Consider the following 26,859-nt stretch of genomic DNA (forward strand, 5'->3'; position numbering starts at 1 on the left):
CAGCAGAGAGAAAGGGATCATAGTCCTTGTCCTCGGACACATTTCAAAGCAGATCTTTTATATTATCTTCGGCACTAAGCCTACAATTTTTACCCCATAATTGATTGCGAAATGAAATGTACGCCCTTGTGATTTCACAGCAAGATTTCCTTGCTGATTTGTTTCGTCGTTGCTGATGTGTTTAGTCCACCCAAAAGCAAACAGCTTTGCTTTTACCCACTACAGTCTGATACCACGGGCTCCATGGACCATTTCAATATTCCACAAAAGCTCAAGGGCAGATCCCTGCACACTAAAGATTTTTCTCAGAGAAAACAGATGTGCTTCTCCCTCTCCCAGAAGTTGCAGCTGTGCCAGACTGATCAGGGAGGCAGCCGATGACTTCCAAATGGCAAAGGAAGCCTTGGTGCATGGCTGCCCTACACTCATGCGGGAGGGGACAAAGGTCTCCAGCTTCCCTGTGGGGAGCCATGGGTGGGATGATTTAAGCAGATGAGCAGACACTGATGCAGGGAAGTGAGGACTGTGTCAAGAGGTGGCAAGCATGCTCGTAAGAACCAGAGAATCCTCATGTTTGGAATAAACAAGTCAGATTTCCAACCCTTGGCGAGGCAGCAAAAGTGGAAGGGAGAATTGCCACAATCCAAACTGAAGTCACAAGGATAAAGATTTTGTTTATTGCTTAGAGGAAGGGAATTCTCATGGAAAAAAGAAGTCAACTCTGACTGCCCTACCACATCAAAGGAGGGCGTGAGGCTACTGAGCAAAGAAACAGAAGTCCCCAGCGTCACTGGGCCCCGGTGGGCTGTGGCTGCGCAACCAGAAACCAATGACTAGGGTAACTCAATGGCCACCAGACAAAAACCCTCCATGTCCCAGTAAGGGCTCCTCTGGGTGTGTCCCCACACGAGATCAACGATTTGGCTGTTCTCAAAGAACACTGTGCCCCCTCTTCAATGCAATAAAAATCCAACTTACAAACCTCTGGGGAAATTGCCACTAAAATGAGCTGCACATGTGATCCTGTTTATAAAATGTTGCAGACTCTGCTTATTATATTTGCACCACTTAAAGAGAATCACAAACCCAAAACCCATTCCTTTAGAGGGCAGAGTTGATTAATCGGAGCCAACAAATGGTGAAAACAGAAGTGGCACAGAAACAGGACAGACATTTGCAAGTAACTCTTAAATCAATTTTGTTTAAAATCACCAGCCAAAAACCTAAGAAAACAACGCAGAGAAGTCACAAAACAGACAGTGAAATGCGCAAGCCACATCATCTGCGGGTACACATCCTACTCTCCCCCTCCAAGTTTTAACATGCTGAGATTAGAGTAGGACAGTGTTGGGACCCGCATTTCTAGGAGCAAGAAACCCATTTCCGATTCTGGCAGAGGCTAGGTGCCCAGCAGCCCCAGGGACAGGCACCCCTCAGCTGCCAGGCCCACTCTTCGGCACACCTCTTCTCTGGCCACCTCCCTGCCCGCGGCACAGTCCTGCTTTCCTCACCGCCTTCCTCTGGGGTCTGCCTCAAAGCCACCCTCCCTGTGAGCTGCTCCCTGACCCCTCCACTGAGGGCTCCAGAAGCCCCACCCAAGCCTCCCTGTGCCCCAGTTTTCTCCGCAGCACTTATGAAGGTAGGACTAACCACGTATGTTAGGAATTGGTTTATGGTCTCTCACCACAAACTCCAGGCAGACTATGAACAAAATTTATAAGGCACATTTCTTTTTCCCTGCCTGCCAGATCAAAAAGAGTAAGACACCAATGTTTCTGTTCCCTTGTTTTGCCTTCCATGTCACAGATACAGTGACGATGCCCTAGTGAAAACCAGGACGCCATGAAAGAGAGGTCAGAACCTCTTGTCCCAATCTCACACTGCTTACCTCAAATGACCTGTCATGCTCTTTGAGGAATTCAAGAGCTCCCAAAACAGAGGTGGCTCAGGAGACCTGGGCCCTGCTGGCAAAGCTCAGGAGGGCAGCTCCAGCCACTAACACAAATTCTGTGGACCACCCACACCCTGGCTCTGGACTTGCCCATTGGCTTGTCTCTCATTTAGATAAAAGAAGACGGCACCTTCCTCCCATCCCTGGCGCAGAGCTGGGTGGATACCAGGATGTACAGAGAAAACTGGCACAGCAATGGAAAAACAACAGGGTACAGCGTCCTGGGGACAGATGCTGTGAACTGTAACACTAACTCTCTAAAGGAATCTACCCTCAATTCACCAAGAAAGACCAAGTGGGACTGGCTGCACTCAGCAACTGAGCCACCAACTCACTTCAGGGAGTCCCAAGCCCACACCCCACTACACCTATTTTGGTACCAAGAGTGGTTCTAGAGGAACAAAGTCTTATGGATGCATTTTCTGAATTGGTTTTGGAGTTTCTGGAATTGGCTCTCTCATCTGATTGGATCTTAAGATGCTAATGATGTTGTGTCCAGTTAGCTGAGCACTGATGGTCTATTGTTTGAACTGTTGATAGAGATATGATAGACGTCTGCACTGGATACTCGAAAGACTTACAAGAAGGGTCTAAGTTAACTCTGTGTATGATCCCTTCCAACATCTTTGAAAAACTGAGAATATGATGTTGGTTGGTTGCTCCTAATGTCACTGGACAAAGTGGTGAAAGACTAGGATGAACTAAGGAATTCAAATGCTCAGCTCAAGCACTGCATCAAATCATCTAAGAGCAGCTAGGTGTGGCTGGAGGGAAAGTCTCTCCTCCTACAGTCACTGGGCTGAGATTGCTGAAAAGCAAAGCCAGGACCTCATCCTGTGATTGGTTGAATGACAAGTTACAAGTTGACCTCCCAGACTCATGGGGTGTCTGCTGGTAAAATGAGGGCATTGGTTGGGAAAGAATGGGATCCTGTAACTTGGGATGAGCCCCTAAATTCTGGTGAGTCTTCTCTGCAAGTGAAAGAGTGGTGTGTGAGGACCTCTAGGGCTGGACCTGGCTGCCCAAGGCCTGGAACTGAACACCTGGCTATCAGGTTAGATGGACATGAGAGAATGGTTTCTTTGTCCCTCCTCCCCTGCCGTCTCCCCACTGTACACCCTGCACAAGAATCCAGGAGGCATTACCTGCCCATGTCCTCCTGTCTGCAGACCCATGGCAGACACAGCAGGAGCCAGTGGGACAGAAAGGGAAGGGAAAACAGGACAGAGCCAGGCTGAGGCATCCCAGACCGCCACTGGGGAAAAATGTTCTGGTAACTCTGTCTCCAGATTTTCTGTCTCCAAGAAACCATTCATGATTCCATCCTCAACGGTTCCTTTGAAAACAGCTTCAGGCAGGCACGGTGGCTCATGCCTATAATCAGCACTTTGGGAGGCTGAAGCGGGTGGATCACTTGAGGTCAGGCGCTTGAGACCAGCCTGGCCAACATGGCGAATCCCTGTCTTTACTAAAAATACAAAAATTAGCCAGCATAGTGGTGCAATCCCAGCTACTCGGGAGGCTGGGGCAGCAGAATCACTTGAACCCAGGAGGCGGACGTTGCAGGGAGCCGAGATTTTACCACTGCACTCCAACCTGGGCAACAAAGCAAGACTCTATCTCAAAAAAAAAAACCAGCTTCAAGTAAGGGCCTAATGTTCTCCACACATTCACACTTGCAAGGCATGAACACATTTCCCAGACGCACGGCAGAGGGAATCCCGCACCTTGGGAATTTAAATCAGGTCAGTCGGGTGGGGATGCGGCACCTGCATTTTCACACCCTCCTGGTGTGTTCCCACTTGGAGTGATTGCGTATGGAAAGAAGCACCCTCTCATCAATCCCTTGGAAAAGGTAACTTCTGACTAATTCACTGAGTCCTGGCTCATCAGCTGAAAGAACTCACTGATGGGGCAGGTGGAATGTCATGTTTCCATGGGGCATTTCAGGGGTGGGGTGCGTCATCGCTTCCCTGTGTGGATCTGAGAAGGAGAGGGGGCAGGCCAGGTGCAGAGACTGGAAACCCAGGCTTGGACTAGAAGAGTGTTCCAAGAGTAAGCAGGGAGCAGTGATCAGTAGCCGAGGTAAGGAAGGACCAGCGGAAGCACTGGAAGCCCTGATCAGCAAAGACAAGGTCTTGCTGCCCAAAGCTGAGGGCAGAGGTCACTAGCCTGCCCACAGCTGCATTCCACACTCCCAACGGTGACTGACTTCTTAACTGAAAGGACTAAATGCAGGAGCGTGAGCCATACCCACCTGAGGCAGAGAACACGAAAAATTGAGACAAAAAGATTTCAGGATAACACAGTGTTAATCAGAACCCTTTAATCCCCTCAATCTCTCAATCTGTTGCTGAAGATTTTAACCTACTGCAGGGTTCAGCTCCTGTGATGTGCGTGCTAGTGTTACTTTGTGTTTCCTAAGGAACAGGACATTCACAAATACCTTGCAGCTTCTTTTCTCTCAAATCCCACTGCATCACTCAGAGAGCTATTTACTGGAAAACAAAACCATTTAAAACATTAATATGCTATTTCAGGAATTGCCTTTTATTTAATGCTTCATGGTCCTTTGTCACTTCATCTAGTTTTAAAAACAAACATTTTAAGAAATGCATTTCAACCACAGCAAATGAGCAGGAGGCCCACAGAAAGCTATTACTGACTGCACTTAGCATCTCTGGACTTAGTTCTTCACCACGTTTCCTAAGGCCTCATCTTCCCAAGTGTGTTGGCTGGAGAAGCTATTTAAGAAGGCTCTGCCATGTCTTGATATGGAATTGAAATTTACCATTCAGAGAGGGGAGGGGTGTCCCACAATTAAATACTGTCAGGAAATGCTGCATATTAAACCTCCCTTAGAGAGTCCCAAAAGCTCTGAGAATACTGTAACAGAAACCTGCTAAACCTGATGCGTCCAAACTCATGAGACCAGGTGGCACCTACTAACATCTCAAAGAATGGGACTCCTATGGAAACGCTACCTTAGGTCAAACCTTCCCACCCCCACCCCCCACCACTCCCGTGACCATCGGCTCGCCAGTCAGTCTGAGACCCTTCTGCCATGCCTCCTCCCACACCTCGCCCCTTCCTTCCCCTCCCATCCTCCCCCAACCCGTCCACAAGCCCAACTATGACAATAATTAGATTTAGCACACAGGCAAGTGCTGGGTAGGCCCAACTTAATAAAATACAGTGTAAGTGATGTTAGTGGCAAATTTCATGATTCCAGAGACCCAGGAGAACACTGGGATGCTCACACTTTTTAATGACACACCTAGACTTTTAAAGTCACACACCTCAATGTTCTTAAGTAGCCACATCTTTTCTTACTACATCTGATGAGTAAAACATGCGCGTCCATGTCACACTGGCCAATACACATTCAAGTTACTGTTTAAAACTTTGAAATGAAATGAGAATATAAGGGGGAAAAAAAGGGAAACCACAACAGAGGGTTCCAACAATATTTATATCACATTATTTACACCTCTTATGTGTAGTTTCAAACTCTTTAGTCTATAATTAAGCAAAGTGACTAAAAACAATTCAGTTTTCAGGAACTGAAGTCGGGTTCGCTTGCACAGCCTCACCGCGGAGTCACAGAAGTGGCCTGTGGAGCTGAGAAACCCCAGGAGGGGAATCGCCCTGAACCTGCACACTCCCTCCTCACAGAGCTGTGGTGTGCTCCAGACAGGCACTGTGCAACTGTGCAAGGCCCAATCCTCCTCTTCCTCGGCTAGCCAGGGGTGGGGCGGGGGCCAGGAGGGCAGGGGCAGCGAGAGAGACTCCAGAAGAGAGCCCCAGGAACTGAGGAGGCTGCAACCTACCTATGTCAAAGTTTTAGAACATGAATTTTTCAAGTGAAAATTCTTATTTCCCCAGCCCCCCCAGTTTAAGAGCAGAAAACCACCTTATCTGAATAATAAACTACAAAAATTAGGTACATGATAGAATCGATTGGCAGAATACAATTCAAGATAGGTTATCTGTATCAAAACAGCTCATGTATCCCATAAATATATACACCTACTGTGTACCCACAAAAATTAAAAATAAAGCTTAAGTAAAAAATTTAAAAACAATAAAAAATTTTACAAAATAAAGTCAGTTATCTGACACTGGCCAATCCTCATGTATCATCTCTACGGTGAGATAAGCACGATAAGCTGCTCCCCTAGCCCTGTCTGCTCTCCGACACGGCCCAAGGTCCCCATTTGGCTTTCCCCTGTTGCCCTATCAGTTTGGTGCCTTTATTAAGAAGTTTTCCTAATATCTCCTTCTTAAATTTCCCCCAATTCCTCGCCCTCTGACCCAGAGTGCTGCTGCCGGAGGTTCTTGCAGAGTCCCCTATGCCATTGGAGGGTCCCCTCTTTAAGCTGCTGCCCCAGCTCTCCAACCCTAAGCCAGCAGAAAACTCTAAAAACTAATCCAGGAAGCTATTGCCCCGTCTTACTCTGCCCCAACCCTGGCCTCTTGGCCTCTTGTCCTGAATGGTTCCCTGTCCTGTGTTCCCAAAGGACAACCCTGCCCTGATCATCCAAGCACTTACTCAGGGTGACATCTGCCTGGTTATTTGTCTCTCTCCCTCACTACACCAAAGAAGTTCTGGGTGCAGGGCCACATCTGCTATGTTCCTATCTGCGTTCCTGGCCCGAAGCAGAGCAGCTGGGTCCAGTAAACATAGGAATCAATGAGTTGATAAAAGATGGGGCAGGAGGAAAAGACTGACACCTTACTCTAGGTCTTAAAGCCCTAGAAACAGGGTCTTAGGATCAAGTGGGAACAAAGACCTTTAGAAACAAAATGACTTCCACAGTCATAATGCTACGATTTGAATGTGTCCCCCAAAATTCATGGGTTGGAAACTTAATCTCCAATGCCACAGGGTTAGGAGGTGGGGCCTTATAAGAGGTACTTGGGTCATAAGGACGGAGCCCTCATGAATGTATTAATGTGGTGACTTCAGGAACAGGTTTGTTATCGTGAGAGTGGGTCGTTATACAGCAAGTCCTGTCCCTGGTGCCTTTCTCCTTCGCACGAGCTTGCTTGCTCTTCCCACCACGTCATGACACAGCAAGAAAGCCCTCGCCAGATGCCAGTACCATGTTCTTGGCCTTTTCAGCCTCCAGAACTGTGAAAAATACATTTCCTTATAAATCACCCAGTCTATGGTAACTACCCAGTCTTTCTGTTATAACAACAGAAAGCTAAGACACAAAATATGCTACTAGAGGGAGAAGACAGCACTGGGAATCCTAATTTCTTTGGATATGTGAAATTCCATTTACAATTTTAAAAAGGAAACACCTGAGAGGACTACTACCTGTGAGGAAAGACAATTCAGATTTTCAGGTAATTAAGGGCTCACACATCCCATAATGAATATATTAGAAATACTTTCCATGTGTTTTTTTTTTTTTTTTTCAGTATGGTACAACTGACCACCAACCAGTTAAATGTGCTCTAGGGGCTCCAGGCATAAACTCAACTGCCAAACAAATACAGTTTTCAACAGGAGATCCCAATTTACCAAGAGAGTGTTTTTTAAAAAAAACAAGTTAAAGATGAACACAACTCCGCACACTTGTAGCACATTCAGTAGACTGTTACCCAACACTTATATGCACTCAAAGATGGCTGCAGAAAGTCAGAGACTAAGAATGTGCCTGCCGCTCAGTCACCAGCCATGCCAACAGACCAGTTTTAATTTCCCAAATAGAAGATGAGGGCAGAAACCTGATTAAAACAAACAAAAAGTAATACCAAACTTGGTACATTACTAAACCAAGAGCTGAAGCTAGAATTCATTTGGTGACCTTGAGTTTATGACCTCCTGGCAGCAAGTGAAAGTTCATTGTTTATATGGCTGCCTCACATTAAAGTGGCTGCTGCTCATTCACACAGTCTCCAAAAGAAAGGGCAAGGGCAAGGACTGCGGACAGCTTCACGTTCCCCTTGGAAAGTCAGCACGCCAGTGGGAGACGTGGAAAGGAGAAGCACATGTAAGAACCAGGAATGACCTTTCTAATACAGCCACACTAGGCAGAGCCTTACAAGGGCACTGCTTCCAAGTGTGACTGTGAGCTTAAAATATCCTTAGAAGTCATAAAGATAATCTTAAAGGGTAGAAATAAGAGACAGAAAAAAGGTTAACATTGAAGATTTTTCCTTTTTTAAAACTGCACTAACTGTCATAAAGGAAATGTTCAGAGATGTGACTGCCCCCAGGAACATGCCACGACTCCCACTGACCACAGCAACCAGCCAGAACCACTGCAGCTGCCCTGCACAGTCCAGCGTCTGTTGACAGAAGCCACCCACGCAGAATCTGCCTCCACCTCCTACACCTGCGATGGCCAAACACTCTCTCCTCATTACTGTCCCAGAGGGAGATGTGAAGTCTATGGAGAAGACAGAAAGATCACATTTGGGTTAAAATCGACTTCTCCCAGCAGCCATTCCTCAGCTTCCAAAGATATTTTTACTTTTAAACAGTAAAAGTGAAAGTTCATTCCTAGTTGATTTTCCCAAGCACACAAATGAAAATTTCTCTTCTCTCAACCCTGCAGCCTAACTTAACTGAAGACAAAAAAAAAACAAACTTTAAAACAACAAACACACACTTGTTCTGATATATCCATCCCTTTAATAATAAGAGAACAGAGCAGGAGAAAGTAGAGCTTCTGTCAACAACAGTCAAGCCTGTGCAAGGTTGCAATCCATTTTCCAGTCTGTAGCTTTGCTCTGGGAAAATGCAGATTTCTGGTCCACCATGCCTCTTCCCTGGGTCAGGATCTGGAATAATACCTTCTAGAAAAGTCAGAGCTTAGTCTCTCAAACACTAGCACGAGACTCAGGTCGTGGTGACCACCACAGTGGTTAACAGCAATCCCGCTGACAGTTTCTCCTTTAATGCAAGAAGGGAAATAGACTCTTTCAACTTGTCCCCAAATGACAACAGTGGTTCATGGTGAGAATGAAGCCTACTGTGTGGTGAGGGGCAGACACAAAGCTGTGGAGTCGTCGGTGACTATCTACACAGCACTATCTCAGGGGAACTCCCTGTCCTCAACCAGGAGGAAGCTGCTAGAGCTTGCTTTCTCTCCATTCATTTCTAAGCCCAGGAGAGGAAGGGCTATTTTTCACCTGAGGTCGCTGATCCCTACCCTTGGCTGGAAGCAGAGAAACAACAGCCTCCAGTACTCCATCCACATGTGCACAAGGTGTGGATGGAGGCAGGTTCGGGCTGATGAGGAAGGTGCACGTCTGTCTGGGCGACGCTGACAGAGCAGCTTACCTCCGTGGGAGTCTGTCGATGTCAGGGTCATGTGCCCACTGTCCACTGGGCTGCCATCCCTTTGAGGAGAGGGAGACACTGATGGGAACCAAAGGATCTTCTAAAGGCAAGTTCTTACCGCAAGCTGGCCCCAAGGTCCCTGTAATCAAAGAAATCATTGTGGTTTTGCATTTGGCATATTTATGCCCCCTTTCTTCTAGGGACAAGTCTGTCAGCCTCTGAACGGGATCTCAACTTTCAAAAGGAAAAGTGTCCGGAAACACAGATCCACCAAGGTATAAAGGAGACGAGAGAAAGGCTTCATGCCACACCTCAGTGTAGACAGCAAACATAATAGCAATTCATTCTCAAAAAAGAGCTGTAGATCCACTGCTACTTTTAACGAACCAATGTTTTCCACTAAACATTTCAACTTAAGCCAACTCCACCTCATCACACTTGTTGGAAATATATGATCAATAATGACTCCAAAATTCATGTACTATACTACACCAGCCTTGGCTGGAAGCCAACAGCAGAAGCATGTATGTAAATGAAGACTGCAGATGATTAGCTTCTGTAAGCCCTGGTCTATAATCAACCTTGTCATTGACCTATCTCCACTGATTCCATTTACAATGACAGGGAAGAGTCATTAGACCCAATTGAAGCATATAATCGAAAGCCAATCTCATACCAAGCCAACCAAAAATAATCAAAATTCTGTAAACTAACTTGAGTACCTAATCTAGTGCAACAATGATTGGTCTCTTAACAGGTTATGTAAATTTCTTTCAGCAATTCCATCTGCAGTGACCAACAGCCACCCAATGTCAAAACATCAACACTTTCTAACTAACTGCACAGCTAGCAAAAGTATTTATGTATGTTCTATTATATATCAACACATCATTTCCTTGAAAAAATCTGCTTTTCCCGGGACAAAGAAATGCCTGCAGATACTTGATCCTTGTCACTACAGAAATGTGAATAATGGAAATCAGAATACTGTTAACAGTTATCTGTATATCAAACATACAAAGAAAGGAAGACAAAAAAATCTTTTCATGAAGAGTTTTCTGTATCTCTGTTTTAAAAGTTTGATTCAAATATATGTTTTAGATAGCCAATCAAAAAAGGAGAAAAAGCTTACCTACAAATTAATTTACTTCTCTAAAGATGAACTGCCACAGACAAAAGGACTCGCCAAAACACCAATTAAGTTTTACGTCTAGTAGCTTTTCAAAAGGCAAAAATCTAAACCAGTCACCACTCCAGAAACGACTAGGAACTAACTCCAAACACATCAGTCAATTCTCTAGAGCCCGACGGGTCTGAACTGTCAGACAAAAAGAGCAACGTTCTCACGGACCCTGTGCTAGGATGCAAAGGTGACAAGGAAATAAAATACAGGTCGTCAGGAAGGATACAGCTTTTCAGACAGCTGGATTCCTAATAACTGGAACGGCTGCAATGAGAACAAATGGAATCACCGCCCAGATTCATAGGCAACCGTGAACATCCACAGGTGAGGAACACAGCAGTGCTAACGAAGGAAGGTGCAGGACCACAAAACCAAAACGAGGCTCCTGGCAGCAGCTGATGCGAGCACAGGAGGGGAGGACAAGGACTGCCCTGCCGAGCTCACAGGGCAATGTCTCCCGTAGCCGAAGCAGCTCCTCCGTTATCAATCACACAGTGCAATTTCCCACTCAAACACAAAGGACAGACTTGTGGACCCTGGCTAAGCTTCCGGATCTATGTCAAAGTGGGGCACAGCTACCGGCACCAATTCAAATTCAATCATTTAATACATATGAGTACAGAGGTGAGCATCGGCGAAGCACTAAAAATGCACTAAAACCACGGACACGTGTTAGGCAAGAATTTCTCCTGCTGAACTACCCAATAAATACGGTGGCCGTGAGTAAGAATTCAATGCTAGGACAAATACAGTCTTTTGAAGATGTGACCTAATACTCTCAGATTCCAGGCAAGTGTGAAACGGTGACCCTGGGCCAGGAGCCCGCAGGCCCGTCTTGCTAATTTGCTCAGGCTTTCAGGGGAACCTCACTGGACACATGCAAAGGGCGTGCTGACCTGTGAGCAGAGGCCTGAGTGCAAAGGACGGTGCTGGCCGACACTAGGCCTCTGTAAATGTGCAGCTGGGCGGGAGAGCCAGCGAGGATGCCTCCAGCAAGGCAGTGCCACTGTGTCTGCTCCACCCGATTCTCCCTCCTCAACTTTGTAAAATGGCTGAACTATTGAATAAATATCTGAAATACCCTCTGTAGAAGGAGAACACACCACTGGAGAGAGGGAATCCGGTAAGAAAATGGGGGAGAAGTACTTAAGAGGACAACCGTCAGGTGCAGGGAAGCTAACGGTAGACCAGGAATGAGGAAACTCTGGCCCTAAATCCCAGCTCAACAGCCAAAGGGCTGCAAAAGCTTTGAAAGCCTGAGCAAATTAGCAAGACAGGCCTGCGGGCTCCTGGCACAGGGCCAACGCTTCACACTTGCCTGGAATCTGAGTATTTGTCCTAGTGTTGATAGTAGAAGAAAAGGAAATCACTCAGCTTCTCTGGGCCATGGTTTTCTAGCCTAGAGAAAGAAAGATAAGGGCTAGCCACCTCTGAAGGCCTTTCCAGCTCTAATTATCTTTGGCTCTGATTTCTCTGACTTTACACAAGGAATACCGTATCTTAGGGCCAGCTGAGCCAAATCAATTACAGACTGCAAATAACTTAAAAGACAAGTATGCCCAGTGTCTGCAGATGAGGAAACAGAGCCCAAAATTAGACTACCACACTCCCTGGCTTCATTCCCAGCCAGGACGGGATATCCTGAGGCAGGTCTCCAGGTCTCCAGATCTCCAGAGCACAGAGTCAGGAAGGCGGGAGACAAACAGAAATGTGATGGTAAAGGCAGCCTCCCCTCTAACTAGGTCTTGTCTCTAGCTTCTTTTATGACACTTCCCAAAAGCCCATTGCAGATCTCTTCCCCCAACCCTAAAACCTCTATTCCACCAAGTCAAGCTCAAGTGGTGTTATCCCATAAACCCACATGGCCCAAAATGCAACAGGGAAAGTACCAAAGGAGAATTCAAACACCAATGCATAACAAGTGTTTGACATTACAATAAACTCAAAAATATAAAGAAACACGTAGCCTGCAATGACGGTCCCAGCTACCCAGAATTCTTCCTGCTCCCCACCGCTTCTTGCTACTTCAAATACTAAAATATGAAAGGCTAATTATAAAGCTAATAGAAGAAAAAAAATAAATATATTTGTAACCTATGAGAAGCTGATGTATTTCGTATACAGGATCCCAAAAGCAGAAATCATATAAGGTGAAAAACTGATGGATTAACTACATTAAAATCAAGGATTTTTTTCCCCAACAGAGGACGCTTCAAAGTTAAAACTAGTGTGATAAAGTCAGAGAACACACCTGTGGTATCAAAAACCAACACTAAGAGACAAGAAACATAGTAGGAAATTTCACAGAAGAATGTATGTTAATAAACAGCAAGAGTATTTGCCTACAAGTAAACCACTAGCCTTTCAGGGTCAGCAGAAAAGAATGCCAATTTAAATGCAACTTACACCACAAGCCCCACTGGAGAGCAGAAATGCTACTTAGAATTTCTGTTGGGACAGAAGATGAGATCTTTCTTGGTAAACTTATTGCTATTGTCCGGGAAAGTGAGGGTGGGAGGAACAGGGGGTATTTTAAAGGGGCCAGGGGCATGTCTGTGTACACAGTGTCTGGTTCCATGCCATACGAGCTATGGCAGAGAGAAAAAGCACTTTCCCCTAACTCTCAGAAAAGGTGGTCTTAAATCAGAATGAGTTAACTTTGTAACATACCACAAACTAACCTTCAGGGCCACGCCTCATATTTTATTCCCATGAAGCTCCCACTTAAAACAATTCACACCTTCTCTGCTTTGAAGTCCATTCTTCAGCTTTGCCAATTTCAAAGCTGTTTCATCAGTTCTCAAAGGGATGGTCAAGCTTGAGGAATGTGACTAGCGCTGGTGAGACTCACAAGAGCTCCTGTTCACAGACTAGAAATAATTTGTAATGAATTAATTTGTAATGTGGCTACCAGGCCAAAACATATAGTTTTGGGCACCCTTTTTTAGTTTCACAATACTTCATAAGCCTAATTATCAGACAATTATTTCCTGACTAGAAAATTGAAAGGGAATTTGATAATCACATGTAATAAACACATTAAACTATAGAAAACTTCCTAGGAGATATGAATTCAACAGAATAATCCTAATGGTTAAGAACATACATAGATGCTCAAAGTTATGATTAATAGAAATGGAAATAAACATAAAATACTGTTATAGCTAAGAGATTGGTGAAAGAAAGTTTTATAGTATCAATGTTGCCAAGAACGTAGACAAACCATGCTCAACACAATTAGCCATGATTAGTCATGAGGGAAATGCATGTGAAAACCATGAGATACTGCTTAACACAATTTTAAAAAAACAAACAAGGGGAAATTGAAACCTTCATTCACTACCATGAGAACATAAGCCACTACTGAAAACAGTCTCAACAGTTCCTCAAAAACAAAAAAAAAAACCAGTTCCTCAAAAGGTTAAACATAAAATTTGTATATTACAGTAAACTCTTCAAATTTTATGTTGCCTTGGCATCCATTTTGAATACAAGTTTAACTTTCTCATACCAGAAGCAGGGCTTAGTCACCCTTGACACGGTCTCCAGTTCTAGACCACACCCAAAAGGCCCAGCTCGCTGGCCAAGATAAGAACTTAGAGGCATCTCCTACACCCAGCAGACTGAGCTCCCCATGTTCCATCTGCTTCCTTTAAACAGAACACTCAGGCCTGCCCGAGAACTTACAGAGCCCCACGCCCTGTTCCCTCTTATATAATGTATACTGCCAGTTGTGCACACTCTCTCTGTCGCTCTCTCTCTCTGCCTGACTCTTCATTCTTGCCTTGTGTAACCCAGGACAGAGGACTGCCTCCTGCCCAGGATATGTAAGTAATAAGTCTTTGAACTTGGATTTGACCACGACATATTATATGTAATATCAAAATATCACATGTACCTCAGATATCTGTACAATCATTATGTAGCCATTTTTCAAAAGCATCTTCTAAAATATATGTTTGAACTTGCTTCCTGTTGTGATGGTGTACGGACTCTGTACCCTCCATCCGAAGAACCAACCACATTACCCCAGGACGTGTGGGAGCAAACAAGGTTGGACTCCCAGCACCAGAATGATGGCCAGGTAGTCAGACAAGACCCACAGGGGTGTCCGTCAGTATAAACAAGTTTCCCGAGTCGGGGCTCAGACCATTATGCGTGAGCCCATCCACCAGGTAAAAGAAGCATCCTGTGAAAGGCACACGGTCATCACCCACATCCAGCTGCCTTTCAGTTCCCCTTAGGGAAGGGTCGCTAGCTACTCTGATACTGGAACCCAATTCAGATGGGGGCTCCCAAAACACATTTGACCCAATAACCCCACTCCCAAGTAATACATCCAAAAGAAAGGAAAACATATCCACACAAAAACTTGTACACGAATGTTCATGGGAACAGTATTCACAACAGCCAAAAAATAAAAACCCAAATATCCACCAACTGATAAATAGATAACAAAGTGTGGTCTATCCACAGAATGGAACATTATTCAGCAATAAAAAGAGCTATTGACACATGCTGCAACAGAGCCCTTGAAAACATGCCGCGTGAAACAAACCAGACACAACAGGACACATGTTCTATAATTACACTTATATGAGGTGTCCAGAATACGCAAATCTATAGAGACAGAAAGGAGACTCGGGAATCTGGGAAGAAATGGGAAGTGAATGATGATGGGTAGAGTATCTTTCGAGGGGATGAAATGTTCTAAAATTGTGGTGATGGCTGCACCGCTCTGTGATATACCAGAAACTCTTGAATTGTATATTTTAAGTGGGTGAATTGTAGATCGGTAAAGGTTTTTATTTTTTTACTTAAACACAGAAACAAAAACCCACAGCTAAACCAGGCATTTAGCTGGTAAGGCTATTCCGAACAACCACACGGTAGTATTTTTTCCTTACTAATAAAAGAGATAGACAGTGTCTCACTCTGTTACCCAGGCTGGGGTACAATGGCACAATCATAGCTCACTGCAGCCTCGAACACCTGGGCTCAAGTGATCCTCCCACCTCGGCTTTCCAAAGTGTTGGAATTACAGGGTGAGCCACTGTGCCCGGCCCCATATTCCCACATGGTAGCATTTACCTAAAATGAATATCCTACTCCAAACTCTAGAGTACTGACGGGAAATAGTAAGCGTCTTAGGACAAGATACTCAAAAATCATAAGTCATTAGGGAAATGCAAATTAAAACTACAATGAAATACCATTCCACACCTACTAAAATGGCAAACATGAAAATTACTGACAGTACCCCAAATGCTGGTGGGGATGCAAAATTATACAGGCACTCTGGAAAATTAAACAGACATTAAATAGAAATTAAATACCTATCCTACTCATAAGTATTTGCTCTAGAAAAATGAAAAACTTATGTTCATACCAAAAAAGTGCATCAATATTCATAGCAACACTGTTCATAATCACCAAATTCTGGAAACACCCACATGTCCTTCGATAGGTAAACCTGGTTATACACACCCTGGTGCCCTACTTAACAGTAAAAAGGAACAAACAAGTGACACATGCATGAACACGGAAGGATTCCTCAGGCATGACAATAACTGAAAAACGCCACTAACAAAAGCCACTAACAACAGATGTGTGATTCCATCTACGGTGCTCCGGAAAAGCCAAAATGCTAAGGACTGATCAGTGACTGCCATGGGCGGGGGATGGTTCAGGAATTCTTTGGAACGTTGGCATTGTTCTGGTCCCATGTGTGGTGGTACTTATAAGAATCTATACATATGTTACAACACATAGGACTATACATCCAAGAGTGAGTTTTACAGTAATTTTTTTTTTTTTTTTTGAGACAGAGTCTCGCTGTGTCACCCAGGCTGGAGTGCAGTGGTGTGATCTCAGCCTCCCAGGTTCAAGCGATTCTCGTGCCTCGGCCTCCCAATTAGCTGTGACTACAGGTGCGTGCCACCATGCCTGGCTAATTATTTTTGTATTTTTAGTAGAGACAGGGTTTCCCCATGTTGGCCAGGCTGGTTTCGAACTTCTGACCTCAAGTGATCCAATCGCCTCAGCCTCACAAAGTGCTGGGATTACAGGCGTGAGCCACTGTGCCCAGCCTACAGTACATAAATTTTTAAAAATGTTATGGGGAAAAACAAACCCATACATACACCATACACAAAACCATGTTTTCTCTATTGAAGACACACAGATTAAAACAGAAAAGGATCTTACATAGGTCGATGATGATGGTGCCATGAACTGCAAAATATGAAAAACTCAACTCTTACCTGAGGTCCATAAATAGAACAGAGAGAAAGAAATGCAACCAGAAAATGAGCAGCAATTGACTTAGAGCGAAACAGGTCATTTTATTGGCTAGAAAGGAGTCCAAAGCTCAAAGAGGCTACTGGGAAGAGCCCTGCTTTAGCACTAAAAATACACATCATGTCTACCGAGAAACAAAAACAAAACAAAAACCCTAAACACACACAAAGTAAGTTTTTTTTTTTTTTTTTTAAAAAGGGAAAGCAAGGTACCAGCCCCTAACTTGCTTTCTCCTTCATTAACACTACTCTAATGAACAAGGTCAAAATATAAAGCCAGATAATTCTGACATTGGTCATTATCAGTTTGCTACAAAACATGCAAAAAACATGGGCAGGTGAGGACCTCCAGTCACACAGCCCCATTCCGGATGTAAATAATGTCTCAGGGAATATTAACTTTTGTAGAAAGAGTACAAGTGTCCAAGGGAGAGTCACAAACGTCCCATTAAGACTCCACTCAGTGAGGGAGGGGCTCCCTCTCATCTGTGGTGTCTTCTGCTCAACTGTGGAAAGCAGGGTTTATAAGGAACACCAGACTTACCGGGGTCACTGCCAACACTTATGTAATCAGTCCCTGCTGCGAACCGGCTTCTGCAGCCCATCGGGGTCCACTTGCTGCCCTCTCTTACCTCAGAACAAAAGTAACCCAGAAAAGCATCTCTGAGTTATCCGCCTTCCCAGGCGCTGTGTGAGCATTCACAGCCTCGAGAACAGAGGCTGGCCAGCCCACGCAGGGTGGACACACTGCCCCGAGTATGGACACGCCCTTCTCATGATGCTGGCAAAGCCTGCACTGGGTCCTGCCACGGACATCATGGTGGGCACAGCCATGGGCTCCGAGACCCTCCATCCAAAATGCCCTTTGGGATATTCCAAGAGTCCCAAATGTCAGCCCTAGAAACACCATTACTTAAACCTATTTTCTGGGACAAAAGGTTCATTCCACGCAGCAGTTTTTCAACAGTGGCACTGTGGACATTCGGGCTGGGTGAGTCCCTGTGTGGAGCCATCCTGTGGACGTGATAAGCATCCCTGGCCTCCACCCACACCCCCAAGTAGTGGCAGCCGAAACATCTGCAGACACTGTCACCTGTGCCTTCAGTGAGGAAAGGTCCATATGGGGCAGTGGCAGGAGGAACAGAGAGGTACACAGTGCCAGATCTAGGTGGCTCGGTTCTCTTCTCTGTTAAGATCACAGAAGCCCTTCAGACTGCACAAGAGTTTCTCCATATGGTGGAGTCTCAACTTTCTTCTGGGCCCTTTCAATTTCATTTGTTATCTAATTCAAATAAACTGCAAATCATCTCTCCATATGTACTAAAATAGTATCTCATTTTCACCATCTCAATGAAAGCGCGGCTGGGACTCTGCCTTTGAAGGAGCAAAGACATGAATGAGAAAGACACTGTGTGCTTTGATGAGAATTTCTGAGGCATAGGAGAGTTCACCCACACCAAGCATATATCTGAACTAAAATGCTTTCAGAAACTAACATAATAACCCATCTGAATTCCTAAGTATGCCTGAAGCCAAGGGCCAATACAAGAGCATGATTTGCTATGAACTAGCTTAAAGAAAGGTGTGAGTAAAGATAAAATTCACAGGTGTCCTAACAGGATACATTCATCATCATGTAGCTAGACTGGTATTTCTTCTCTGCAATGTGAAGTTATCATACAATATGGGCAAGGCTGAGAATCACGGTGTTTTTCTGCAGATAGGCATAGTAAGTAGGCTGATTATTTTCTATTGTCCAAACTAGGGTGCATCTGAAAGTCAATAGGCCAGTTATTAGTTATGCGGGGGAGAAGCATCCAAGACTGCAGATGGACACTGACCTGCACAGCAGCCTCGTTCATGGAGACGCTGGCCACTTCTATCAGTATTTTTTACTCTTTTCCCCAAGGATAAAATGACTGGTTTTTCTGTTTCATCAGAAACTATTTCCCCTTTGGGGACCACAGAAAAAACAATAGAAGTCCCAAGAATATAACTTGGAAAGATGACTGTGAAGTGAGATTATGAACCTGTAACTACCCACAATCAATCCTTTCCCAGAATAACCTGTACTTTCATAGAGTACTTAGTTTTCTAAAACTCACCAAGGGACTTTCCCATATTAGTCTTCTGGTGAATCTGATGGGTCAAACTACTCAGAAAAGTTTTTAGGAACTGATGAAAACTTGTAAGTCAGGGATCTGAATCCGCAATGAGACAACAGGGCATGTTTCTTTAATAATGACACTACAACAAAAACTACTATGGCAAGGAAGAAATTTGAAAAGCACAGCTTTTAAGACCTCGCACCTGATTTGCTTTGGTTAAACTGGCTTGATGTTTGAGAGGAATAAATAATTTATCATAAAAGAAAATGATAAACCTTATTTTTAGCATGCTAACAATCTATTTTAAGACTTGTGAATTTTGAGTCTGTTTGGCGCAGATAACTTAAAATTTTTTTAATAAGGGAAAATCATCATTTACTAAAAATCTACTACATGCCAGCACTTTACATACATGATCTCATCTTTATAGTAATCATGGAAGTATATCTGCGTTTCCTCAAGAAAATCAGCAGCCCAAACAGCGACCAGTTGAGTACCTGTACTAGAATCTGAGACTAAAATCTTGGCTATAACTAAAAGTGAATCTCAATATGGACACTCTGATAGAATAGCAAGCTCCTCAAAACAAACCCCCTGAAAAAAAAAAAAAAAAGATTTGTAAGTGCTGAAGGGAATGCACATTTGCAAATGGTGCACAGAGAAAAAACAGGTCAGCATCCCGTACTACACCATCCTGTTCTCGTTACAATTATATGTCTTCACTGCCTAATTAAAATACAAAACCAAAAAATTCTCTCTCCCCTCCTGCACACTACCCCATATCCCCTACCCAACCCCACACACAGGCAGTTTCATTTTGACTTCGTGGATGGTACCTCAGTGGCAGAAAACTCCAGGGGTATAATGGCTGGGACATGGAGGATTCTGGTTAAGTATCCTAGCTGGTTTAATTTCCCAAAAAGTAAACACTGAAACTACAACGGGTGAAGTTTTTTCCATGGTCTGTGATCATCCTCAAGACCTTTCCAGGCCTCAGATCCATAAATATTGGGGGGGTGGGGGGATTCACTGTTGTATTGTTCCTTCTCCTCCCTAAATTCTAGCCCTTGTTTTCAATCTTTAGGGGAAAAAAAATGCTACAAAGCAATTTTGTGACTTCATCACTGCTACTGTCAAAATTAACACCACTCACCAGATCCTTAGTAACATTCAGAATATTTAGACCACTTCTCTATTGTTTTAAATCCTTTTTTCTAGACTAAAAGAATGAACCAAAACATAATTATGAGACCTGTGAATGCTAGCTACCCCAACAATGAAGAAACCCATTTCTGGTAATCTCTTCTTTGTCCTGGCCTGCTATATAAAAGTCCCTTAACACAGGGTGAAATCCTAAGGCCCTCTCTCCAATCACCCTTAAAGAACTAAGAACAGTAGCTCTGAACGCTACAGGGAGTGTTTTAAAATGACAGTGAAAACCACATAGAGCACTATTTCCAGCTCTGTGCCAAAGACCCATTTGTCTTACAAATCCATTTAATCTGTATCCTCCTTGACATTAGGACCACACTTTCTAAACCTACCAAGATGATGGAAGAATGGCCTCTGACTCAGGAGGGTCCCCTTCTGGGCCAAAGAATTTCATGACACTCCATTACACAAGAATGGGCAGACAGAATTACAGGTCTGGATTCTTCTCCTGCTCAATTATAATAGTTAATTATTGTTTTAGAAGAGCAGTTCATGATGTATGTAGCCAAATAAGACAATTGTCCTTCACATGGCTTTAAAATCCGGGCCAACTTTCCACAATGGCCACGTTCTTCCAGGCATTCTTGTGGCAGATACTCCCTAAAGGACAATCTGCTTAGTAAAATACAGAGAGCGCACTGGATAAAGTATCAACACTTTTCAACCTGCCTGGAGGCCATCAGCACCTGAAGACCACTCCCTGAGCTATTCCACTTCCTACAGAGATGAAGTGACTTTGAAAAGGCCAGCCTACTGTGCACACAGCCTGTGTCCTCTTCCCACGAAGCACACTATTCAATGACATTTCTTAGCCTCTCCTGGGTCAGGTGTGGGTCATGTGGCTGAGTTCTGACCAGGAGAACATGAACAGAAACAATGTGCCCTACGTCCAGGCCTGGGCACATAAAAACTTCCCACACGTGAGCCTCCATTTCTCCCCCAACGCTGACTTATGGCAGCTGAGCACAGCCACTTGTCAAGATGAAGGAACAATAAGATAAAAGGAACTCAGGTTCCTGAATCAGTGTCTGAAGGAAAACAGCCCACGGATCAGGGCAACCAGTGAGGAAGAGATACATTTCTAACATGTATGAGTCGTTACACATTTAAGGAGTTTACTACGGCAGTTGACGTTACAATAACTAAACAAAATACCGGGGCAACCTTAGATCAAGGTTAGGCTGATCTGAAACCTAACGTTCTAGCATTAGCAGCTCAGGCAAGAACAGGACCTGTTTGGATGGAATCTCTAGATACATGCAGATATGTACTGTGGCCGCTATATTTGGCCACAATAAAGCAGCCCATTCCAGCATGCAGTAAAGATCGTGCTAAGGAGCTGAGGTTGAACAAGATGTTTTGAACCACTGATCCTTAATTTCCATAGTTAAATATTAGCTGGTATAAATCACCAAATATTTGTCAGGATCCTCCACACTTCCTTTGCCAAAACCATCATAATAATTCATATTAAAATACAACATCAGCAAACCACACGAAATCCAACTCTGAATTTACTAGAACACTACTGCTGAAGTAATTTCACAGGGAATAGTACGCAGTACAGTGGACAGAATCCAAACTGAGTTTCTTTAGCTGTTTGTTTTCAATCGAAATTTAACATCGAGGCCAGGCACAGTGGCTCATGCCTATAATCCCAGCACTTTGGCAGGCTGAGGCAGGTGGATCACCTGAGGTCAGAAGTTCGAGACCAGCCTGGACAACATGGTGAAACCCCATCTCTACTAAAAATACAAAAATTAGCCGGGCACGGTGGTTGGTGAGCGACTGTAATCCCAGCTACTCAGGAGGCTGAGGCAGGAAAATCGCTTGAACCCGGGAGGCGGAGGGGGCAGTGAACTGAGATCGCCCCACTACACTCCAGTCTGGGTTACACAGCACGACTCCATCTCATTAAAAAAAAGAAATTTAACATCAAGATGCTGGCATTCCCCCACGGAAGTCACATGTGTAGTGCTTTCGTTTTTGCTGTGTCAAGACCCAAACTGGGTGCACCACACAGCAACATTTGCTCTTCTTGTTGGCATTCTTCCTCCATTCTTTAACCCTGGTTTCCTTGGTTTGACCTCAATGGATACCTTAACTGCAAACTACCTTCATTGCATATTCATTGCAGGGTAATTTAAGAGATGAGGTATGAATAAATGCTACCAAGGAAGGAAAATACGCATTAAGTACCTACTACATGTCAAGTACTTTCACATACTTAATTCCATTTAATCTTTGTAACATATGATATATACCATAATTTTCCATTTTGCAAATGAGAAAGTGGAGAAGTTATAAAAAATAATGAAAACTCACTCAAGGCCACACATCAAAGTAAATGACAAGATTCAAGTCCTGTGACACCTGACTCCAAAACTCACTCTTTCCATTTCAAAATGCTACATTTGACCTATGACACACTGCTGTCCTTTACACAAGGGATAAAAAAGGGATCACTGCTCAATTTTGATTTCCTTTAAATATCCATTTTAGTTAATCAATGGTTCTCAAAATGTCCATCCTCTGACTTACACCTTACTGTATTTCTACAAAAGCAAAACCTACACGCTCCCTTCTCACATCAGAGCAGCTTACAAGTTGTAACTTAGAGACTTTAGAGGGTAAGGCCAGGGGAGGAAGAGGCCTGGCCCAAATTATCCAGGTTTATCGCTGCCTCCCCTGGAAAATCATCATTTCTTTCTTCATAGTTCTGTATTCCACAATAATTATTTCAGAGCGTTTTTTTCCCCACCAATTCTTATGATTTCTAAAACCCCATTTTAAAGGTTACAACATTTTTAAGTTCAGTGAAACAGGTATATTTTGAGGAACTTGAAACACAAGAACGGTCATAAGCCTTCTTAGTGTTGTAACAGGATTGTTCTACGATGTCTAAAATGGTAAAATGGTTCCATGCAGGATCAGAAAAACATTTTTAATACTATTCTTTCCCACTTAAAGAACAGAGTGGCAGTGCAGGACAATTTTTGTGTCATATTATTATAACTACCGTTTTATTTAAGTAATTACCAATTTGCCTAGCATTCTTAAAAGTCAAGCGTAGATAAGCTAGCTAACTAACCAACATTATCAATTCTCATCAGCAGTTTTTAACAGCATTAAATTAAACCACAGCTGGTAAGTGAGAATATCAAAAGATTAACATTCTTAAGTTGGTATGAGTTTTTAATACTAATCATAAGCAGTCCTAAAATTAGGTGAATAACTGTTATAATAACTTAATAAGAAACAGTTTTAATGACAAAGTCCCACCAGAAATACTCTTCCTTATTCAAAAGAGAATTAGAACATCAAACACTTTCACCACAAATATTTCTATAGGAGACATTTGAGATGATGGAACTATCAAAGCCAGGTTCTTTTGATCACGAAGGTCAAAACATCTCTCCTTGCTCTGAAACCTGCTGTGCTTTGTCCTATCAGAGTCCTTCCCATTCCCTGCTGGCACCTCAGCCAAGTGCTGCAGAACGGAGAAGCACGTTATTTTAAGCCTTACCTTCAGATAGGATCCATAATATTTGGTTACATATGGACTGTCACACTGACTCAGCACTGTGATTTCTTGTTGAATGTCCTCTATCTCATCTTCAGCTTCTTCCAGATCAATGATCTTTATGGCAACCACTTTCTGAGTCCGATTGTCAATGCCTTTGAACACCTCTCCAAAGGAGCCCTTCCCAATTTTCTCTAGTTTTGTAAAAAGCTCTTCTGGGTCTGCCTTTAGGTTCTGTAGAGAGAAGGAAGAGAAAAGGGAAACTTTAGTCCCTCATAGCACCACAACTCCTTTGTCAATTTTATGTGTAATGTTATAGACCACACTGTCTTCCAGGGACTCATCTATTTTCTGTGTCCAGCATCAGGCTGGTGGTGACCACAGCTCTGCAGGTTCAGGACATAAGATTCCTAGGTCTCACCTACACATGCGCATCAGACTATGAAAGGCAGCAAGCGTACAATAAGAACAATCACCCAGCTAGATTAGAAAACATGGAAAAAATGCCAACTTTTGTATAATGAGGGTAAATTAAAATCTAAGCACTTATTGGAATGTTAGGATACACAGACTTATCGAAAAATCACTTTTGTCTAAGCAAAAATTCACTTTTCTCCATACCCAATCCCCAAAAGTTCCTGAATTCAAATGAATTTTTACTAAAATGTTAACCAGCTATATCACAGAACAGAAAAAAAAACGTATACCGTAACTATGCATCTTCATGAATAGTACTGCCTTCACCAAAACAATAACAATCTAACCAGATTCCAGAAAACAATAAGCAGCCTGTTTTGTCACATACATGCTGTACCCTGGAAATAGCCTCTAAAAGCTCTTAACCACCTGATTAGTTACACATACATATATAGTATACATTTCTAAGAAGGCTAGCTGTCAGAGCTCAAGCTCTCATCCTAACAGCTACACAGTACAGAGTCGTGTGAACAGCTGAGTTCTCAAAGGGGGCAGTAACCTGTCATCCACAGGGCCTGTTTGTCAGGAAACTGAGAAGCAATCCCGATGTTTAGCAAGGCAAGACAGGGACGCTGCATATCTCCCCACAAATAACTGCCCAGCTCAAAATGCCAATGGCACCCCGGTGACAAGCACTAGCCTGGAACCCCACAGAGCAAGGAAGGACTCTAAGAGACACCACTGCTGCAGACACATCTTCCCTCAGAAATGGTCCATAGAAGGAACAGAACGCCAGGCCAACCCTCCAAATCTATGAGTCCTTTGAAGAAGCTGAACTACTAGGAAAAGGAACAAGCACAGGGAGGAGAGGGAGGCCTGAAAAGGAGGTAAAGAAAGAGAATGAGGAGAAGAAAGATGACACAGAAGAGGGTATCCAGAGTGGTGCATGTGAGGTGGGTCACACACACAACACTGCAGCAACGGCGGTGCCTCATGAGTGACGTGAGCCTCAGGGCCCATCAGGGGCCACCCAGCCACAGCTCTCCAAGGTGAGACACACTGAGTTCCGAGCAGCTGCTCTCCAAGAGAACTGTTGAAAGCCAGTCAGCCCATTTCTGGTTTGCAGGCCTTACAGTGCTACAGCGTGTCCACCATGGCAACAACGCACATATCGCCACAATGACACACGAGCAGATAGCCACAGTGACCTCCTGCACACAGGGGCGCAGAGCCCCTGCCCCATGTTTGTTTGAGGCTGCACATCAAACAATGCAAAAGCTCACAAAACCCACCAACCATCTTAGTACAAAATGAACCAAGGCTTGCGTGGTGGACATATACCCAACGGGAAATGCGTCCTGGGGTTACCAAGAGAGCAGGACAGGCCAGAGGCCAGACACTGAGTGCTCAGCCCACACCGGAAGGTCATGGCCAGCGTAATCCGAGGTCTAACGAGCGGCCAGGGATTACAAGGACTACAGTTTTAGCCATGATCCCCCTTGGCTCCTAAAACGCTACACAAACATCCACTGTGTTAAAAATCAACCTATCTATCCAACTTCCACTTAAAGTACTGCACTAAACATATCAATTGGGTGATTAATCGAGAGGCATTTAATTTTTTTCCTGAACAATTGCTCAATTGTTTTCAGTCACGGCACTACATTTCAAATGTCTTATGACGGTCATACTTAGGAGGAAGCCTGGCTGTGTGTTTACAGGTTTTAAAAAACACAGTCCAAGACTCCTGGGTTTACCAAGATAGTCAATGACCCACAATCAAAGCCCAGGATAATTTTTTCAAGTGAAGACTGTTTTTGGAGCTCGTGAGCAGCCCTACAACATCCTCCTCTTCCTATTTTCAAGCTTATCAATACCCCAGGCTGAGTATCACCAGTCACTTTTGGGAATGCCACAGAATGCCCGGGTGGGTACCTCCCACCTGACTCCCCCTACACGCGGCCTTGAACCTGCACCTCCACCTCCTCTAACACAAGCTGCTAGGATGAGCAGCTTTCGGGGATGCGGGGGAAGCAGCGCATCCTTTTTTAGCTATAATGAAACATACCCCGTTTTCAGCAGCTACTATCCTCGCTGCTTTCATGCCCTCTCCCTTACCGTGCTCCCTCCAGGATGAGGTAGAGTGGCCCTCCTTTTATTCAAGGCCAGTCCCCAAAGCTGGGCTCTGGAGTCCATCCTTCTCTCCTCCAGGATAAGGCTTCGTCAGTAACCCCCTTCTCGCTCCTTCTTCCATTCACCCCTCTCTGCTGGCTCTCTGCCCTTGGCAACATGCTCCAGTTTCTCCCATTTAAAACAAACGAAAGCACTCTCCCTAACCCAAAGCCCTCCTCCTCCACTCTCTCCTTCCTCTGGAGTCCCTTCAAAGTCATCTGGACCTGCCCGGTCCTCCCCACCACTGCAGCCTGGCTCCGCTCTGGATCCGGTCACCAGTGCTGCAATGTCGTGTCTGAGCCTTGTCAACCACGCCCTCCCCCTCCTCTGGGTAACTTTCCAGTCCTTTAGCATCCACAGCCCCACTCCCGCTGGCTTCTTCCAGTCCCTCTAGTTCCAGAAGGATCTTCACGCAGACTCCACCTTGGCTGGCCCTTACTCTAGGTCCCAGCCTGGGCCTCTACTCCTTCTCCCCAGGGGTGCCCGGTAGTTTCAGGGTCTGGGGCCCTTGTTTCCCAAACCTGCCCGAACAGAACCACCTAGGACATCTGACATTCTTGCAGAAATATATGGGAGTTCAGAAGAGGAGGTGAATAATCCATGTTTTTAAAACACCCCAATGGATTCTGATCAATTGCCACCTTGAAGGAAAGGCTGTGTTAAAGACTCACGTACATGACAGCTTTCAAAGCGC

The 26,859-nt window shown here is 44.3% G+C and overlaps 1 protein-coding gene across 3 annotated transcripts in view, besides 10 other annotated features; it reads right to left on the bottom strand.

The window, feature by feature from the left end:
* STK24 (serine/threonine kinase 24) overlaps positions 1-26,859 on the bottom strand; it is a 131,923-nt gene that overhangs the window by 50,479 nt on the left and 54,585 nt on the right. For 2 of the 3 annotated variants that reach the window (NM_001286649.2, NM_001032296.4), the window contains exon 2: positions 23,580-23,810. In NM_001286649.2, coding sequence (NP_001273578.1) covers positions 23,580-23,810 — 231 coding nt within the window. Of the gene's footprint in view, positions 1-23,579; positions 23,811-26,111; positions 26,463-26,859 lie in introns of those variants that run through there. The other variant, NM_003576.5, reaches the window with a different exon arrangement.
* Positions 288-1,122: an enhancer, noted in NCBI's record as "H3K4me1 hESC enhancer chr13:99148205-99149039 (GRCh37/hg19 assembly coordinates)". NCBI's record gives its function as "activates a minimal SCP1, AML or CMV promoter by ChIP-STARR-seq in naive H9 embryonic stem cells {active_cell/tissue: H9 hESC(naive)}" and the evidence as "EXISTENCE:reporter gene assay evidence [ECO:0000049][PMID:30033119]".
* Positions 5,385-5,524: an enhancer, noted in NCBI's record as "active region_7909". NCBI's record gives its function as "activates an Ori minimal core promoter by ATAC-STARR-seq in GM12878 lymphoblastoid cells {active_cell/tissue: GM12878}" and the evidence as "EXISTENCE:reporter gene assay evidence [ECO:0000049][PMID:35858748]".
* Positions 8,679-8,838: an enhancer, noted in NCBI's record as "active region_7910". NCBI's record gives its function as "activates an Ori minimal core promoter by ATAC-STARR-seq in GM12878 lymphoblastoid cells {active_cell/tissue: GM12878}" and the evidence as "EXISTENCE:reporter gene assay evidence [ECO:0000049][PMID:35858748]".
* Positions 9,169-9,238: an enhancer, noted in NCBI's record as "active region_7911". NCBI's record gives its function as "activates an Ori minimal core promoter by ATAC-STARR-seq in GM12878 lymphoblastoid cells {active_cell/tissue: GM12878}" and the evidence as "EXISTENCE:reporter gene assay evidence [ECO:0000049][PMID:35858748]".
* Positions 10,264-10,863: an enhancer, noted in NCBI's record as "H3K27ac-H3K4me1 hESC enhancer chr13:99158181-99158780 (GRCh37/hg19 assembly coordinates)". NCBI's record gives its function as "activates a minimal SCP1, AML or CMV promoter by ChIP-STARR-seq in naive and primed H9 embryonic stem cells {active_cell/tissue: H9 hESC(naive and primed)}" and the evidence as "EXISTENCE:reporter gene assay evidence [ECO:0000049][PMID:30033119]".
* Positions 10,864-11,463: an enhancer, noted in NCBI's record as "H3K27ac-H3K4me1 hESC enhancer chr13:99158781-99159380 (GRCh37/hg19 assembly coordinates)". NCBI's record gives its function as "activates a minimal SCP1, AML or CMV promoter by ChIP-STARR-seq in naive and primed H9 embryonic stem cells {active_cell/tissue: H9 hESC(naive and primed)}" and the evidence as "EXISTENCE:reporter gene assay evidence [ECO:0000049][PMID:30033119]".
* Positions 11,464-12,063: an enhancer, noted in NCBI's record as "NANOG-H3K27ac-H3K4me1 hESC enhancer chr13:99159381-99159980 (GRCh37/hg19 assembly coordinates)". NCBI's record gives its function as "activates a minimal SCP1, AML or CMV promoter by ChIP-STARR-seq in naive H9 embryonic stem cells {active_cell/tissue: H9 hESC(naive)}" and the evidence as "EXISTENCE:reporter gene assay evidence [ECO:0000049][PMID:30033119]".
* Positions 17,165-17,214: an enhancer, noted in NCBI's record as "active region_7912". NCBI's record gives its function as "activates an Ori minimal core promoter by ATAC-STARR-seq in GM12878 lymphoblastoid cells {active_cell/tissue: GM12878}" and the evidence as "EXISTENCE:reporter gene assay evidence [ECO:0000049][PMID:35858748]".
* Positions 21,887-21,946: an enhancer, noted in NCBI's record as "active region_7913". NCBI's record gives its function as "activates an Ori minimal core promoter by ATAC-STARR-seq in GM12878 lymphoblastoid cells {active_cell/tissue: GM12878}" and the evidence as "EXISTENCE:reporter gene assay evidence [ECO:0000049][PMID:35858748]".
* Positions 24,664-25,165: an enhancer, noted in NCBI's record as "H3K4me1 hESC enhancer chr13:99172581-99173082 (GRCh37/hg19 assembly coordinates)". NCBI's record gives its function as "activates a minimal SCP1, AML or CMV promoter by ChIP-STARR-seq in naive H9 embryonic stem cells {active_cell/tissue: H9 hESC(naive)}" and the evidence as "EXISTENCE:reporter gene assay evidence [ECO:0000049][PMID:30033119]".

The sequence above is a fragment of the Homo sapiens genome, chromosome 13 (assembly GCF_000001405.40).
Source record: "Homo sapiens chromosome 13, GRCh38.p14 Primary Assembly".
Lineage (NCBI taxonomy): Eukaryota > Metazoa > Chordata > Mammalia > Primates > Hominidae > Homo > Homo sapiens.